This window comes from Homo sapiens, chromosome 17, assembly GCF_000001405.40.
Source record: "Homo sapiens chromosome 17, GRCh38.p14 Primary Assembly".
Taxonomy (NCBI): Eukaryota; Metazoa; Chordata; class Mammalia; order Primates; family Hominidae; genus Homo; species Homo sapiens.
In genome coordinates this window covers 82,773,228-82,789,656 of record NC_000017.11, presented here as the reverse complement: position 1 = coordinate 82,789,656, position 16,429 = coordinate 82,773,228, and the positions used below count along the sequence as shown (strand labels likewise).

Below are 16,429 nucleotides of genomic sequence, written 5' to 3'. Positions count from 1 at the left end.
GTGACTGCGTGGGCAGTGAGGCATCACGGGTCTGTGAGCCAGGTGAGGGCGGGGCAGGGGAGAGGGCAGGGGCACCCCAACCTGCACAGGGGCCACAGGTCAGGACGACTGGGGCAGGGGCCACTGAGACCCAGCTCTAGCCCACTCAGCAGCAGCCCAGCCCAGCTCTCTGCCTGTCTCTTCCTCATCTAAGAACTGAGCGGGGTGAGGCTGGTGACCCGCCAAGCCCCCTCCCCGTCTAGCACATGACCCCGCGACGGGCTGCCTGTGAGCACACGTCTGTGAGCAGGTCGCGCCACCTCAGCAGGGATGGGCCAGGGCTGATGGGGACTCAAAGGCGTGCGGCTCACCATGCAGGTTTCTGTAAGACTCACGGCACTGTGCCCGCCCCACATAAAATGCTGAGTGATGGGAAATGAGTGTTAGGAGCTGGCTGCTCCAGGTCTTTCCTTAACGCCACGAGGAGACCGAACCAGCGTGGCCTGGGGTACCTCGTTTCACCCAAATGCTACAGGAGCATGATCTCTGGAAAGTACCCACATTCAAACTGCTCTTGTCCTATTTTCTCCATCCAAAACCTTGCCCCAAGAGAGCACTACAACTAAAAAGGACCACGTGGGTCATCTTCCTCTGGCCACACTGAACCCTAAATGAAACAGTAGGGTGCTGTTCCCCAAATCTGAAGAGAAATCAAAGCCTAAATGTGAAATGTTTTAGATAATCAGCTGTCTTCTTTCATCTTCAAAGACTGACTGTGCTAATTAGCCTCACACCAGCCTCTGCGGTGAGAGGTCTGCTGCTTCCCTCCCAGGTGGGGCGGGCGCTGGTGCTCACCCTGGCCTCAGGTCACAGGAGAGACGGAGTCAGCAAAGGGCCTGGGCACAGCTCACAGCAGCTCAAGCCCTGGTTCCCGGCCCACACACTCTTGGCCACAACCACTCCTACTTGGGGACCTGGCTGCTTTTATTAACTATAAAAAAGCAGAGTGGCTTCAGCACCTCTCTTCACAAGGGCCGAGCGGGAGCTGGGAGTGAGGCTGACAGTGCCAGCGTTCTTTGGCTTTCTTGGTTTTTAATGCTGTTGTGTGTGACTATTTTATCCTTTAACAAGAGTTGTGCTTTTGTCAATGATAAAAATAAAAAGAAACCGCACTGCAAAGGGGAGACTCGAGCCTAACAGCCGATAAGGGGAAGAGCATCCTATTACCACTTTCATAGTCAACAGCCCCGTCTCGCAGTCCGAGTCCCCCAGCCCCGCCGCCGCCTCCCAGCCATTGTGAGAACACACAGGGAGAAACCCACTCCACACAGTCGACAATCTTCCAATCAGAGCACTAGAAACCAAGAGAGCACAACTATCAATCAGCAAGCAGAGTCACACATGAAATGACAGCCATTTTCCTTTTTGTAAATTTTTTTTTAGATGGAGTCTTGCTCTGTTGCCCAGGCTGGAATGCAGTGGCGCCATGTCGGCTCACTGCAACCTCCACCTCCCGGGTTCAAGCGATTTTCCTGCCTCAGCCTCCCAAGTAGCTGGGATTACAGGCGCGCACCACCATGCCCAACTAATTTTTTGTATTTTTAGTAGAGACAGGGTTTCACCATGTTGGCCAGGCTGGTATCAAACTCCTGGCCTCAAGTGATCCACCTGCCTCGGCCTCCCAAAGCGCTGGGATTACCGGCATGAGCCACTGTGCCCAGCCCATTTTCCATTTTTAATGTGTTTTTCTCCTTCCTTGAATTTCCTCAATTTGCATTAATCTTAATGCTTAAATTGGGACTAAACCAAAGCGTGTTTTTAAAGCTGAAGTACAGGGGCCTTCCAGGGAAATTACATTGCCAAACACTTGCTTCCCTCCCACAGGAGTTAAAAACCCTCACTGCAAGGGAACTACGCTTCGAGGGAAATGAAGATCAAATCCTGGTTTCGATGGTACTTGTTGAGAGTTCACCTGTTTCGCCCACAGTAATGAACAGGTGGATGACAATGAAGCCAAGTGCATCAAAGGAAACAGATGAAACCCTAAGCAGAATCCACCTGCAAGTTTCATCATGTACAGCAGGCGCCCGGCCTCTGCCTGCAGCTCTGCCAAGCCCAAGGTGAAACCTCCCACCCGCTCAGCACCCAGCACGACTTCCTCCTGCTGAGGCAACCTGGATCAGACCAAACGGACCCTTCCAAGAGACAGAAGGAAACAACACACATGACTCTGGAAAGACTCGAGATGCTCCAGCAGCCGCCCAGGGCTTCAGACGCTCTGGAAGGGACGTGCTGGCCCCAGGAGCTGCCAGAAGCCCGGCCCCGCCAGGCGTTGCTTCACGGCAGTTTCATTCATTCCCTTCCCAGGGATTTCAGCCGGCTGCGTCAGACAATTGCTCACTCTTGCTGAGGGCAAATCTCTGAATAGTTCTGAGGTGCTGCTGCCAAACCGCCTGGGTGCTCTGCCCTAAACGGCAGGACAGCACGCCTCACTCTTTGCCAGCATATGCCGGGGGGTGGCACAGGGCTCGGCTCTCCTAAGCCTTTGAGAAGACCGTTTTACACCTCGGGAGGAAGGGGAAAAACGAATGTCTCTCCACCTCAACGTGGAACTTGGAGATGTCAAAATAAAAAGCACTTCCCCACTCCTGGCTGGTTTGACTTTGCTACAGGAATTCCCACCTGTCCCAGCAGCTAGGAGGGGAATGGGGCAGCGAGCCGTCCCGCCCACCCACCCTCTGGGTATTCCAAATGCAGGCTGTGCAACACGTGTCTCCCACTTGGGATGGAAGAACAGAAAACTTGGGAACAATCTAGAGAAAACCAACAAGATCATCAAAAAAAAAAAAAAAAAAAGTAAAGAACCGAACCCACAACAAAGAAACTGCAGAACTAGACACATGTGGCCACAAGACCCTCCCAAGCCGAGAAGGACTCGGAGCCCTGCACCCAGGGGACACCGTGGAGCCCTCCAAGGCAGCCTGAACGCAGTGGCCCACAGCCCCTCACCAGGAGGCTGCCTCTCCCACAGCCAGCCTGGCCAGAAGGTGGCACGCCTCACCTGCCTGCAAGTCCCTGGGCAGCCACAGCTGGCTCCAGCCCCAAGGCTGGGATATCCTGCTGACCCAACAGCATGGGGTGGGGACGGCAGAGGAGGGGAGGCTCCCAGGCCAGGCTGACGAGAGCTGCAGGAGACCCCTAGAAGCCCGTTAAGAGACCGGACAGAGATCAAATTTGCCTCCCCTCCCAAAGCAGCACCCACACTCGGGGCAGGGCTAACGGCCTCCCCTGCAGAGGCACCACACTCGGGGCAGAGCCATTGGAGACAACCAGCTCTGGTCACATCCTGTTAGACCTCCCATTTGCTCCCCTGACCTGAGATGTTTTTCCCCCACAGCACTGAGTTTTATTAGGGATTTCATTAAGGTTAAATTTCTAAGGATGAGGGAATCCTAGAGGGCAGAGAAGCCCTCGAAGCCACCTCAGATCCTGTGAGCCACAGGTTCTACGGTGGGATCGCCACCTGGTTCCAGGTGCAGATGATTATAAGGACACTGCTTTGGCCCCACGGGCTGGTAGGCTGGTTAATTCTTCCCCACCCAGAACACGATCATGAAGGCCGTGAAGCTGAAGAGCTGCTTACACAATATTCCAAGAAGCAGGTGTGCGGGACATATCCACATGGATCCTGACACACATGTAGGTGCCAACATTGTCATTTCACCAGTCCAACCTCAGGCCAGGTGGTCCCAGTCACAGCATGGACCCCCTCCCACTGCGATGGGTCGGGTCCAGTGGTCCCAGTCACACAGCATGGACCCCCCTCCCGCTGCGATGGGTCGGGTCCAGTGGTCCCAGTCACACAGCATGGACCCCCCTCCCGCTGCGATGGGCGGGATCCAGTGGTCCCAGTCACACAGCATGGACCCCCCTCCCGCTGCGATGGACGGGATCCAGTGGTCCCAGTCACACATCATGGACCCCCCTCCCGCTGCGATGGGTGGGATCCAGTGGTCCCAGTCACACAGCATGGACCCCCCTCCCGCTGCGATGGGTCGGGTCCAGTGGTCCCAGTCACACAGCATGGACCCCCCTCCCGCTGCGATGGGTCGGGTCCAGTGGTCCCAGTCACACAGCATGGACGCCCCTCCCGCTGCGATGGGTGGGATCCAGTGGTCCCAGTCACACAGCATGGACCCCCCTCCCGCTGCGATGGGTCGGGTCCAGTGGTCCCAGTCACACAGCATGGACCCCCCTCCCGCTGCGATGGGTCGGGTCCAGTGGTCCCAGTCACACAGCATGGACCCCCCTCCCGCTGCGATGGGTGGGATCCAGTGGTCCCAGTCACACAGCATGGACCCCCCTCCCGCTGCGATGGGTCGGGTCCAGTGGTCCCAGTCACACAGCATGGACCCCCCTCCCGCTGCGATGGGTGGGATCCAGTGGTCTCAGTCACACAGCATGGACCCCCTGTCGCTGCGATGGGTGGGATCCAGTGGTCCCAGTCACACAGCATGGACCCCCCTCCCGCTGCGATGGGTGGGGTCCAGTGGTCCCAGTCACACAGCATGGACCCCCCTCCCGCTGCGATGGGTGGGGTCCAGTGGTCTCAGTCACACAGCATGGACCCCCTGTCGCTGCGATGGGTGGGATCCAGTGGTCCCAGTCACACAGCATGGACCCCCCTCCCGCTGCGATGGGTGGGGTCCAGTGGTCTCAGTCACACAGCATGGACCCCCTGTCGCTGCGATGGGTCGGGTCCAGTGGTCTTAGTCACAGCACGTACCCCTTTCCCACTGCAATGGTTCGGGGAGCTGCGGCAGTTGCCACACCCCATGCCACCAGCCGGGTAAGGCTCATGGTCTTCCACACGCATGTCATACTTCTTGGCAGTAGCGGCCCATTCTTCTGGGGTCTTAGGGACCTAAGAGCGTGTCCTTGGTCATGTGGGAGGCTGTCTGTACACCCAGCATCACAAACATTAAGGTGAAGCTACCAGAATTCCCAGGACCCCCACCCTGGCCACTGCCATCTACCCCTTCTTCATGTTTCCTCAGTGAGACCCAAGGCAAAAAATGAAGAATCCAATTGCAACTAAATCCACCACCTTTACCAGAATTGCCTAAAACATAAAACGCACATTCCCTGAGGATCCATGGACCAATGGCACAGTGGGTACGTCCGAGACCTGAGTCCTCCCTGCCCTACCCCTCCACCCCCGTACCCTTCAAGGCCAGCCTCAGCCTGCCCTGACCTCCACGATAGCAATGAATCCTCTTTAGGCATTGAGGATGCTGCCCCAGCACGGCCGGAACGAGGGGCACCTGGGGACACAGACAGCACATCTGTACCTGCAATGCCCAAAAATGCCTGGCATGAGGAGGTCCTCTATTTCATCAGTACGACAGGTATGCCACCAGAAAAATCTTTTTAGAAAGACTCCAGAAAGATGAAAACATTCCAAATTTTGTTTAAAATTTTATTAAAAACTAGTGTTGTGTACCCAAGGGTACTGAAAGTATTAAGTTGGGTTTGTTTTTTCTGTTTTTTTTTTCTGGCAGAGTCTTGCTCTGTCACCTAGGCTGGGGTGCAGTGGCATGATCTCGGCTCACTCAACCTCCGCCTCCCAGGTTCAAGCAATTCTCCTGCCTCAGCCTCCGGAGTAGCTGGGATTACAGGCCCACGCCACTATGCCTGGCTATTTTTTGCATTTTTAGTAGAGATGGGGTTTCACCACGTTGACCAGGCTGGTCTCGAACTCCCGACCTCAAGTAATCTGCCTGCCTCGGCCTCCCAAAGTGCTGGGATTATAGGCATGAGCCACCGCGCCCGGCCTGAAAGCATTAAGTTTAAACAAAAACTTGCACATGAAAGTTCTTCACAGCGTAATTTGTAAGAGCAGAAAATACCCACACACTGGCATATGGAAAATACCCACACGCTGGCATATGGAAAATACCCACACGTTGGCTTATGATTCGGCCATAAAGGGAACGAGGCACTGACAACACCACAGCGCAGATGAACCTTGGACACATCGGGCTCAGTGAAGGCCAGACGCAAAAGGCTGTGTCGTGTACGACTCTGGTGAGGTGAGATGTCCGCAACCAGCAAGTCCACAGGGACAGCACATGGATCCACGGCTGCAGGGGCTGGGGAAGGTGAGGGACGGACTGCTCGGTGCAATCAAGGTTTCTCTCACGATGATGACAGTGTCCTGAAGTTAGATAATGGTGATGACCGCACAGAAAACTACAGAATTGTTTACCTTAGAAGGATAAATTACTTGTGGTATGTGAATTATATCTTGATTTTTGAAAACTGCTGAATCTGTCACATTTATGTGGAGGTTGAGGGGACGCCTGAAGAAAACAGACATCACCTGGGCAGAGCACAGGCTCCAGGAAACACGTCTGCAGTTTTCTCTCACACGTCTGAAACCTTTTCCTCATTTCAAAGGCTGCCCTCCTGAAGACCACGGCAGCATGACCGGGAAGCAGCAGACATTGAGGAGGACACTTCCCAATTCCCCCTCAAGAAACGTATGCCCCCACCCCAGGCTATCACTCCCACAGCCCCCCTCCACCCAGCTGACAGCCTCCCGCTCCCTGGCAGAACCTGCCACGGCCAGGACAAAACCGCGGGCAGGAAGATGATACCACAGACAGGAAGACGACGCCGCGGACAGGAGGGCACAGCGGACAGGAGGCCACCATGGACAGGAGGGCACCGCGGACAGGAGGCCGCCATGGACAGGAAGACGACACCGCAGACAGGAAGACAACGCCATGGACAGGAAGACAACACTGAGGACATGAGGACGCCTCTGCGGACAGGAGGACGCCACCGCAGACAGGACGACGCCACCGCAGACAGGACGACGCCACAGACAGGAAGACAACGCCGCGGATAGGAAGACAATGCCGCGGATAGGAAGACGATGCTGCGGACAGGAGGACGACGCCACGGACAGGAGGACGCCGTGGCGAGGTGGCACTCATCATCTCCCCTAAAACGCGCTCCAAAGTGTCCTTCCAGGCGCGGCGGCTCAAGCCTGTAATCCCAGCACTTTGGGATCATCACAAAGGCAGGAGGATCACTTGAGGCCAGGAGTTTAAGACCACCCTGACCTACATAGCAAGACCCTGTCTCTATAAAATATATTTTTTAAACAAGAACAAAGTGCCCCGCTCCTCAGAGGGACCACAGGCTCCACAGCGTGAGACAAGGATGAGAAGTGCTCTCAAAGCCTCACCCGCTGTAATTAAAGAGAGAAGAAGGCGCTGAACCCACCACGCCAAAGGCCACAGCCGGCTGCCGGCTCCCCCTCCAGAAGGCTGACCAGGGAGCTGCAGCCTCCAGGACGCTGACCCAAAAGAGGCTTTGCCCTCTTCTGAGACTTGACCTTTCCTCCTCGTTAGCACAAGAAAAGGTAACACAAGAGACAATCAGAGCGAAAGGGCAGGGAAAGGGCTGGCAAAGGGCTGCAGCCAGGGCACTAACCAGGCACCTGCAGGCAGAGGCCAGGGTCTGTGTCCCAACGAAGCAGTCAGGAACATCCAACCCGAGCCCAGTGCAAAGGAACAGAATCAAATTTCAACTCACCCACCTTGTTTTATTAGAGCTCGTTCAGTCTCTGCACTTAAACAGGAACTAAGCAGCCCAGATGCAGAGAAACCTACCCTGGGGAGCCCCGGCTGCGTGGCACCACTGCCCTCTGCTGGCAACAGGTGGGGCTCCAAGCCCATCCACCAGCACCAGCGCAGAAACCAGCCCTGCCTGAGGCAGGACCCAAAGCAGAGGGAAAAGGAAACTGCCCAAGACCCTGGCCCGGTTAAATCAATCCCACGGGGTTCCAATTACGTCAAGATGGAATCACAGGTAACATCATTCCGTGGTCCCCATGTAAGGCGCCATTTCCCTGCGATCTCCACAGCCCCTGCGGGCAGCACTTACCAGGGCCTGCAGCGTCCCATCCATGGTGATGACCCCCTGCATGGTCTGGAAGGAGGAACGGGCCAGATTGCACAGGCTCCAGTCCAGGAACTCAGCCATCTTGCTTTGCTTGACATCAGGACGTGTGATAAATCTGCCAAAAGGATACAGCTCAACCAAGGCCTCAGCACTGAGACCTCGCCCACGCCTCACCAGCCCACCCCACACACACCCACCTCCCCAGGCCCTCCCACCTCACGCACCCTTACACCAAGATGCCAGCTCTGTACTGAGTCCTGTCCTCCTCCAGCTAGTTCCTCCTCTCTCCAACCCTAGAAACCAAGTCGCTGCCCTGACCAGGGCCCTCAGCAGCCGGTTCCCCACCACAACCTCTCAGGTCGCAGGCCTACTGCCCATCCCCCCCCGCCTGCCCCCTCCACCCCCCCAGTTTTACCTGTCCCCATCACCGCCAGGGAGCCCCTGCCCACTTCTCAGCCCCTCCCTCCTCCCTGGACCCAACTCTGCATCCCTTGACCTCAGGACACCGTGCCCACGTGCAAGGCCTGGCCCCGGCAGCTGGGCCCCAGCCCCTGGGACCTCCCTCCCCCACACCTGCCATGCGTCTTGTGCACAGGCCTGTTTCCACAGCCAGCTGCTCGTGTAGCCCCATGAAAGTCTTCCCTGTTGGACTCGGCCTCGTGTTCCAGGCAGTGCTCACACTCCCCACCCCTCTTGCAGCCCGGCCTCAGCGCAGGACACCTTGAGCACACAGAGCTCCCAAACCAAAAGCCCAAATCTGGCCGGGCGCAGTGGCTCATGCCTGTAATCCCAGCACTTTGGAGGACGAGGAGGGCGGATCACGAGGTCAGGAGTTCGAGACCAGTCTGGCCAACATAGTGAAACCCTGTCGCTATTAAAAATACACAAAAAATTAGCCGGGTGTGGTGCTGTGCGCCTGTAATCCCAGCTACTCAGGAGGCTAAGGCCAGAGAATCGCGTGAACCCGGGAGGCGGAGGTTGCAGTGAGCCAAGATTGTGCCACTGCACTCCAGCCTGAGAGACAGAACAAGACTCTGTCTCAAAAAAAAAAAAAAAAAGCCCAAGTCTTCCTTTTTTTTGAGATGGAGTCTTGTGCTGTCACCCAGGCTGGAATGCAGTGGTGTGATCTTGACTCACTGCAACCTCTGCCTCCCAGGTTCAAGCAATTCTCCTGCCTCAGCCTCTCGAGTAGCTGGGACTACAAGCGCACGCCACCATGCCCAGCTAATTAGCCCAGATCCTCCTGATTTCTCCACCAGGAGTTCATAGGCCAGGCCCCCAGCTTGCCTCCATGATCGAGACTGGCACTGCCACACGGAGAACAGACAAGGCCCTTCCCTCCCACAGCTGACACTCTGGAGAGAAACGACAAACAGCTGGGGACTTCCACAGTGCAAAGAAAAGTTACGAAGGAAACGGGAGGGCATGGCCTCGTTAGAGAGAGGACGGAAGCCACGGAGCTCAACGAGGGGGGCTGCAAAACCTGGGAGGAAAGTGCTGCTGCCCAGGGAAGCAGGAGAGCCAGGGCCCAGGGCAGAAGGGAGCCAAGGGAACTCGCGAACTGCAAAGGCAACATGGTCGAAGCAGAGCAGCCGAGTGGGAGAGGTGCTGGGGACAGGACCAGTACTGGCCAAGCCTGCCCACCTCCTCTTTAGGCCATGCCGGCAGGTCTGACTGGCATCCTAGCCACACCTTTATGGGGTGGGGGGAAGGAGACGGCAGTGATGCCAGGAGGGAGGCACCAGGCGCTCCCTCAACAGCCACAAGGCCACCTCCCGGAAGGGACACTTGGGAGGGCCAGGAGGCGGAAGAGTCCACGTGGGGGAGTGCCCCACGCGACGCCCACGAGACAGCTACGTGGAGACCCCAGGCAAGGTGAGACGTGGAAGCTGGAGCTGCCAGGCTATGACGCCCAACCTCCCTCCGGCCCCCACGTCATCTCCACTGCAACTTCAACTCCGGCCATCCCACCTTCCCGGCCCTTGTTCCAGCACATCCATCTAGTTGGCCTGCGCGAGAGCCGGCTCCATGCTTCCGTGGGGACAAGCCCTCTCAGGGCACTTAACACACAGGAGACAGCCACGCACGTGCCATCCTACTCGGTCATGGCCCTCACAAAACAGAAGCGCTGCCCAGCTGACAGGACGGCTGGCACCTGCCAACTGCTCGTAACAGCAAGGACCTCTCCCCTCCGCCACTGTCCCTGTGGAGCATGCTTAGGGAGGGGCTCAGCATGAACAATGGGGAAAGAAGTCCCTATTTCCAGAAAGTAAAGAATCATTTGGCTGGGCACAGTGGCTCACCCCTGTAATCCCAGCAATTTGGGAGGCGGAGGTGGGTGAATAGCTTGAGTTCAGGAGTTCAAGACCAGCCTGGTAAACATGGTAAGACCCCCATCTTGGCCAGGCGCAGTGGCTCAAGCCCGTAATCCCAGCACTTTGGGAGGCCAAGGCAGGTGAATCACGACGTCAGAAGTTCGAGAACAGCCTGTCTTGCACCCCATCTCTACTAAAAATATTAAAAAATTAGCTGGGCATGGTGGCGCATTCCTGTAATCCCAGCTACTCGGGAGGCTGAGGCATGAGAATCACTTGAACTCAGGAGGCGGAGGTTGCAGTGAGCCGAGATCTCACCATTGCACTCCAGCCTAGCAACAGAGCAAGACCCCGTAAAAATAAATAAATAAATAAATAAATAAATAAACCCCATCTCTAGAAAATAATACAAAAATTAGCCAGGCATGGCCGGGCGCAGTGGCTCATGCCTGTAATCCCAACACTTTGGGAGGTCAAGACGGGTGGATCACCTGAGGTCAGGAGTTTGAGACCACCCTGGCCACTATGGTGAAACCCCGTCTCTACTAAAAATACAAAAATTAGCCAGGGGTGCTGGCGCACACCTGTAATCCTAGCTACTCAGGAGGCTGAGGCAGGATAATCACTTGAACCAGGGAGGCAGAGGTTCAGTGGAGCTGAGATCACGCCATTGCACTCCAGTAGAGCCAAAATCACGCCACTGCACTCCAGCCTGGGCAACAAGAGCAAAGCTCCGTCTCAAAAAAAAAAAAAGAAAAAGAAATTGGCTGGGTGTCGTGGCATGCGCCTGCAGTCCCAGCTACTGGGGAGGCTAAGGTGGGAGGATTGCTTGAGCCTAGGAGATGGAGGTTGCAGTAAACTGTGATCACGCCACTGCACTCGCGCCTGGGCAACAGAGTGAGACCCTGTCTCGAAAAGAAAAGGAAAGAAAAAAGAAACTCATGTGTCCTCCCCAGGAGAGTTAACTTTAGCGGATCTGCAAAAGGGGCCCAGGGCAGTTAACTTCATCGCAGAAGGAAGCAGCATTAAGGTGGTGACAAACCGTGTTCCCTTTAAAACGCACAGAGTTCCCACAGAGCATTAGAAATGAATGGAAAAGCGGAATACTGTGGGCGGCAAGCCACCCAGGTGCCGAGGCAAGAGACCAAGGACACGAGCTGTTCCAATATAATAAAATATAAAACAAGAATAGTTATACCAGATACAGATCTTAGATATGATTATATATATCATTAATCATTAGTTGGTAGCAATTATTCTTTATTCCAATATTATAATAATCCTCGCTCTATAATCATAACCTAGGAAAAGCCAGGCCATACAGAGATAGGAGCTGAGGGGACATAGTGAGGTGTGACCAGAAGACAAGAGTGCGAGCCTTCTGTTATGCCCAGACAGGGCCACCAGAGGGCTCCTTGGTCTAGCGGTAACGCCAGCGTCTGGGAAGACGCCTGTTGACAAGCGGACCGTGGTCTAGCGGTAGCGTTAGTGTCAAGGAAAAACACCCGCTACTTAGCGGACCGGGAAAGAGAGTCTCCCTTTCCCCGGGGGAGTTTAGAGAAGACTCTACTCCTCCACCTCCTGTGGAGGGCCTGACATCAGTCAGGCTCGCCCGCAGTTATCCGGAGGCCTAACCGTCTCCCTGTGATGCTGTGCTTCAGTGGTCACGCTCCTAGTCTGCCTTCACGTTCCATCCTGTACACCTGGCTCTGCCGTTTAGTTAGCAGTAGCAAATTAGTGAAAAGTCTCTGATAAGCAGAAATAATAATGTAAGCTGTTTATCTCCTTCTCCTCTCTCTCTCTCTGCCTCGGCTGCCAGGCAGGGAAGGGCCCCCCGTCCAGTGGACACGTGACCCACGAGACCTTACCTACCGTTGGAGATGGCTCACATTCCTTACACTGCCCCTTTGTCTTGTATCCAATAATATCAGTGCAGCCTGGCATTCGGGGCCGCTACCGGTCTCTGCAACTTGGTGGTAGTTGTCCCCCGGGCCCAGCTGTCTTTTATCTCTTTGTCTTGTGTCTTTATTTCTACACTCTCTCATCTCCACACACAGGGAGAAACCCACCGACCTTGTGGTGCTGGTCCCTACAGACACAAAATGGCACTAAAGCAACTGGTTACCTACTGGGAAGGGCGGGGTTCTACTGTAGACCAAAAGAAACCCCAAATGAATCAATAATTCTGTCTTAATAAACGGTAGAGAAAAATATAAATGACTACTTGTTAAATCTCTTAATAAGACTGCAGGCTTAAAAGTAAAAATAACTAAATAAAGGAGAAAAAAACGGTTTGACATTAAAATTAAAACTTTGGTCCAAAAAAAAAGGAAAAGGCCAACAACCACCTGGGGCAATACCCATCGCCCTTCACCGGAGGAAACTCACACTCGTGGGGAAGAAAAGGCCCCAAGGAGCCCACAGACACGCAGAGTCAGGTCACGAAGCGGAGTATGTAACACCTAAGGTGAGGGCAATCAGCGTGATGCCAATTAAATACCTGCAATCAGCGACACCATGTTTAATCCAATTTGGGGGTGGGGTGTTCCTGGGGCTGCCTCGGCCACCAAAGCACTGCTCAGAGAGCAGCTGAGAGCCACCAGGTGTGCAGACCCCAACACCACTCTCGTGTCCTGGAACCCAGAAGTCCATCTCTAAGGGCCCATCCTCACGAAACAATCCTGACACGAGAACGGGTCTGTAACCAAACCCAGGCGTCCGTGACTGCTCACAAGAGGCAGGAAGTGACAGAGCTGAGTGCAGTATCGAAACACAGCAGAACACGACGGAGCCATTCATCAGCAGTTACATGAAATCAGGTGAAAAAGCACAGTGCTGACTCTGACTTGTTAAGATCATGCTGTGCACATTAAAAGTCATAACGGTGCAAAGAAGATAAACACGGTACACGCACTGTGTATAAGAATTACCTATATATCTTTTTCCAACTTCTATGTTTCAAGATTTTCAACTTTTTTTTGAGACAGGGTCTTGCTCTGTTGTGCAGGCTGGAATGCAGTGGCGCAATCACAGCTCACTGAAACCTCAACCTTCTGGGCTCAAGCAATCCTCCCACCCAGCCTTCGGAATAGCTGGGACCACAGGTGCGTGCCACCACGCCACGCCAAGATTTCCAACTTTTCTGCATACAGCGTACCTCTTTTTTTTTTGAGATGGAGTCTTGCTCTGTTGCCCAGGCTGGAGTGCAATGGTGCGATCTCTGCTCACTGCAACCTCTGCCTCCTGGGCTCAAGCGATTGTCCTGCCTCAGCTTCCCAAGTATCTGGAATTAGAGGCACGCACCACCATGCCCAGCTAATTTTTTTGTATTTTTAGTGGAGACAGGGTTTCACCATGTTGGCCAGGCTGGTCTTGAACTCCTGACCTCAGGTGATCCACCCGCCTCAGCCTCCCAAAGTGCTGGGATTACAGGCATGAGCCACCGTGCCTGGCGAAAGGCATATCTATTAAAGGGGTTTTTTTTTAATTTTTTTATTATTATACTTTAAGTTTTAGGGTACATGTGCACATTGTGCAAGTTAGTTACATACGTATACATGTGCCATGCTGGTGTGCTGCACCCACTAACTCGTCATCTAGCATTAGGTATATCTCCCAATGCTATCCCTCCCCCCTCCCCCCACCCCACAACAGTCCCCAGAGTGTGATGTTCCCCTTCCTGTGGGTTTCTAAGGCAGCACTCAATCTGCATGTTCTAGCAACACTGTAACACCAAGCACCACCTACAGCGCTGTGGATGTTGGCAAGCTCAGTTAATCAAGGGAGACGGGTGCAGCTGTAGAGCCGCCAGTGATACAGGGAGAAGCATTCAATCCTGAGAGCAAAGTGGGCTAGAGCAGGCTGCTCCTCCCTGGAGAGCAGAAAACGAACCTGTACTGCAGACAAATGCTGGCACAGGACCCCTCGCAGCCCTGGCCTTACCTGAACAATCCTCACCAAAAAGGGGTCTGAGAAGTACAGGAAACTCAGAACCTGCGGTGAGTCTGGGAGGTGTCGAGGGAACCGGCCAAGCACCTGTAAGAGCTCTTCCACTGACGGCATCCGCCATTCTCAAACACTCTTGAGAATCAGTGTGCGAGAGTGTGCGAGACCAAGGGGGAGAAAGGCTCCACGGCACCGACGCCCCCAGGCACCACCTCTCCTGGATCCCAGGCTCAGGTGTTCTGCACGGAAACTGGCTCGGCCGAAAAGCACCTGCTCATCCCGGCACTAGGTGGCGCTGCGGTGTCTCGCCGGGAGTCCGCCCGGGATCCCGAGCCAGCGCGCTCTTTTCCCGGAGGACCCCACGGAGGGAGAAGTACTCAGATGGTGCCTCCTGGCCCACAGGCACCGCACTCCACAGAGCCAAGCTCGGCAAAAATCTACGCAACCCTCAGTACTGCTGCTAAGAAAAGTAAGAATAAAAGCAGATACTATTTCCCATTGAACGAAGTTGGCAAACATTCTTAAGGTTTGACCCAACTGGAAAAGACGGGGAAAGAACTTCCAACTTGTTCAGCCTCTCCAGTAATTGCATTCAGACCCTGAAAACGTGCGTTCCACTTGTAGAAACTCATCCCTAGAAATCAGTCAGAACGGTACACAATTTTACGTGGACTGTTTGCAATATTGAGTTTTAATACCAAATTGGGAGGGCAGCAGTCTAAATGTCCCACCACAAACGACAGGTAGACACACTCGGGTGGGGGGCAGCCCCCGCCCGGCCGCCGCTCCGTCTGGGAGGTGGGGGGTGCCTCTGCCCGGCCGCCAAGTCTGGGAAGTGAGGAGCCCCTCTGCCCGGCTGCCACCCCGTCTGGGAGGTGTACCCAACAGCTCATTGAGAACGGGCCATGATGACGATGGCGGTTTTGTCGAATAGAAAAGGGGGAAATGTGGGGAAAAGAAAGAGACATCAGTTTGTTACTGTGTCTGTGTAGAAAGAAGTAGACATAGGAGACTCGATTTTGTTCTGTACTAAGAAAAATTCTTCTGCCTTGGGATGCTGTTAATCTATAACCTTACCCCCAACTCCGTGCTCTCTGAAACATGTGCTGTGTCCACTCAGGGGTAAATGGATTAAGGGCGGTGCAAGATGTGCTTTGTTAAACAGATGCTTGAAGGCAGCATGCTCCTTAAGAGTCATCACCACTCCCTGATCTCAAGTACCCAGGGACAAAAACACTGCGGAAGGCCGCAGGGTCCTCTGCCTAGGAAAACCAGAGACCTTTGTTCACATGTTTATCTGCGACCTTCCCTCCACTATTGTCCTATGACCCTGCCAAATCCCCCTCTCTGAGAAACACCCAAGAATGATCAATAAATACTAAAAAAATTAAAAAAAAAAAAAAAAGACACACTCGGGCCAGGCGCGGTGGCTCACACCTGTAATCTCAGCACTTTGGGAGGCCGAGGTGGGCGGATCATGAGGTCAGGAGATGGAGACCATCCTGGCTAACACAGTGAAACCCCATCTCTACTGAAAATACAAAAAAAAATTAGCTGAGCATGGTGGCGGGCACCTGTAGTCCCAGCTACTCGGGAGGCTGAGGCAGGAGAATGGTGTGAAACCGGGAGGCAGAGCTTGCAGTGAGCCGAGATCGTGCCACTGCACTCCAGCCTGGGAGACAAAGTGAGACTCCATCTCAATTAAAAAAAAAAAAGAAAGAAAAAGAAAAGACACTCTCGCACCAGGTCATCTCGTTTTGGAAGAAGACAATGGCGCACCAGGCCCATCTCCTGGTCCGTGGTGCAAAGAATTGAGTGCAGCAACTGAGCCATGGACAGAGTTGGTGCCGCCCCGCGGGGAGACCATGGACAGAGTTGGCGCCACCCGGTAGGGAGACAGGGGCCATCACACCCCCATGGGATGAAAGCATTCAAAGGTTTTATTTTGTACTTCATGCTCTATTATCTAAATATATACAGATTACTTTAATAATTAGACGATCATCTTTTTATGTCCTTGACAAGACAGGAAGCAGCCTCTGCCCTCTCGGGAGGGGCCTCACCTGCTCCAGGGGACTCAGGCGTTCCTTCCTCAGCTCCAGGCTGTCACAAACCCCTCATCCAATGCCTCCAACTGCCCCACAAAGGAAGCTTCTCTCCTCCCACTTCTCTGGGAAAGAAGCTGTGCAAGTTGCAGCTACACACCCGAGTGAAGG

General features: G+C 54.4%; 1 protein-coding gene across 15 annotated transcripts in view, besides 1 other annotated feature; it reads right to left on the bottom strand.

Annotated features, from left to right (window-relative positions):
- TBCD (tubulin folding cofactor D) overlaps positions 1-16,429 on the bottom strand; it is a 193,850-nt gene that overhangs the window by 156,258 nt on the left and 21,163 nt on the right. For 12 of the 15 annotated variants that reach the window (NM_005993.5, NM_001411102.1, NM_001437989.1 and 9 more), the window contains one exon: positions 7,936-8,068. In NM_005993.5, coding sequence (NP_005984.3) covers positions 7,936-8,068 — 133 coding nt within the window. Of the gene's footprint in view, positions 1-5,942; positions 6,197-6,597; positions 6,785-7,588; positions 7,613-7,935; positions 8,069-16,429 lie in introns of those variants that run through there. The other 3 variants (XM_047436618.1, XM_011523589.3, XM_011523591.3) reach the window with 3 other exon arrangements.
- Positions 2,095-2,144: an enhancer, noted in NCBI's record as "active region_13015". NCBI's record gives its function as "activates an Ori minimal core promoter by ATAC-STARR-seq in GM12878 lymphoblastoid cells {active_cell/tissue: GM12878}" and the evidence as "EXISTENCE:reporter gene assay evidence [ECO:0000049][PMID:35858748]".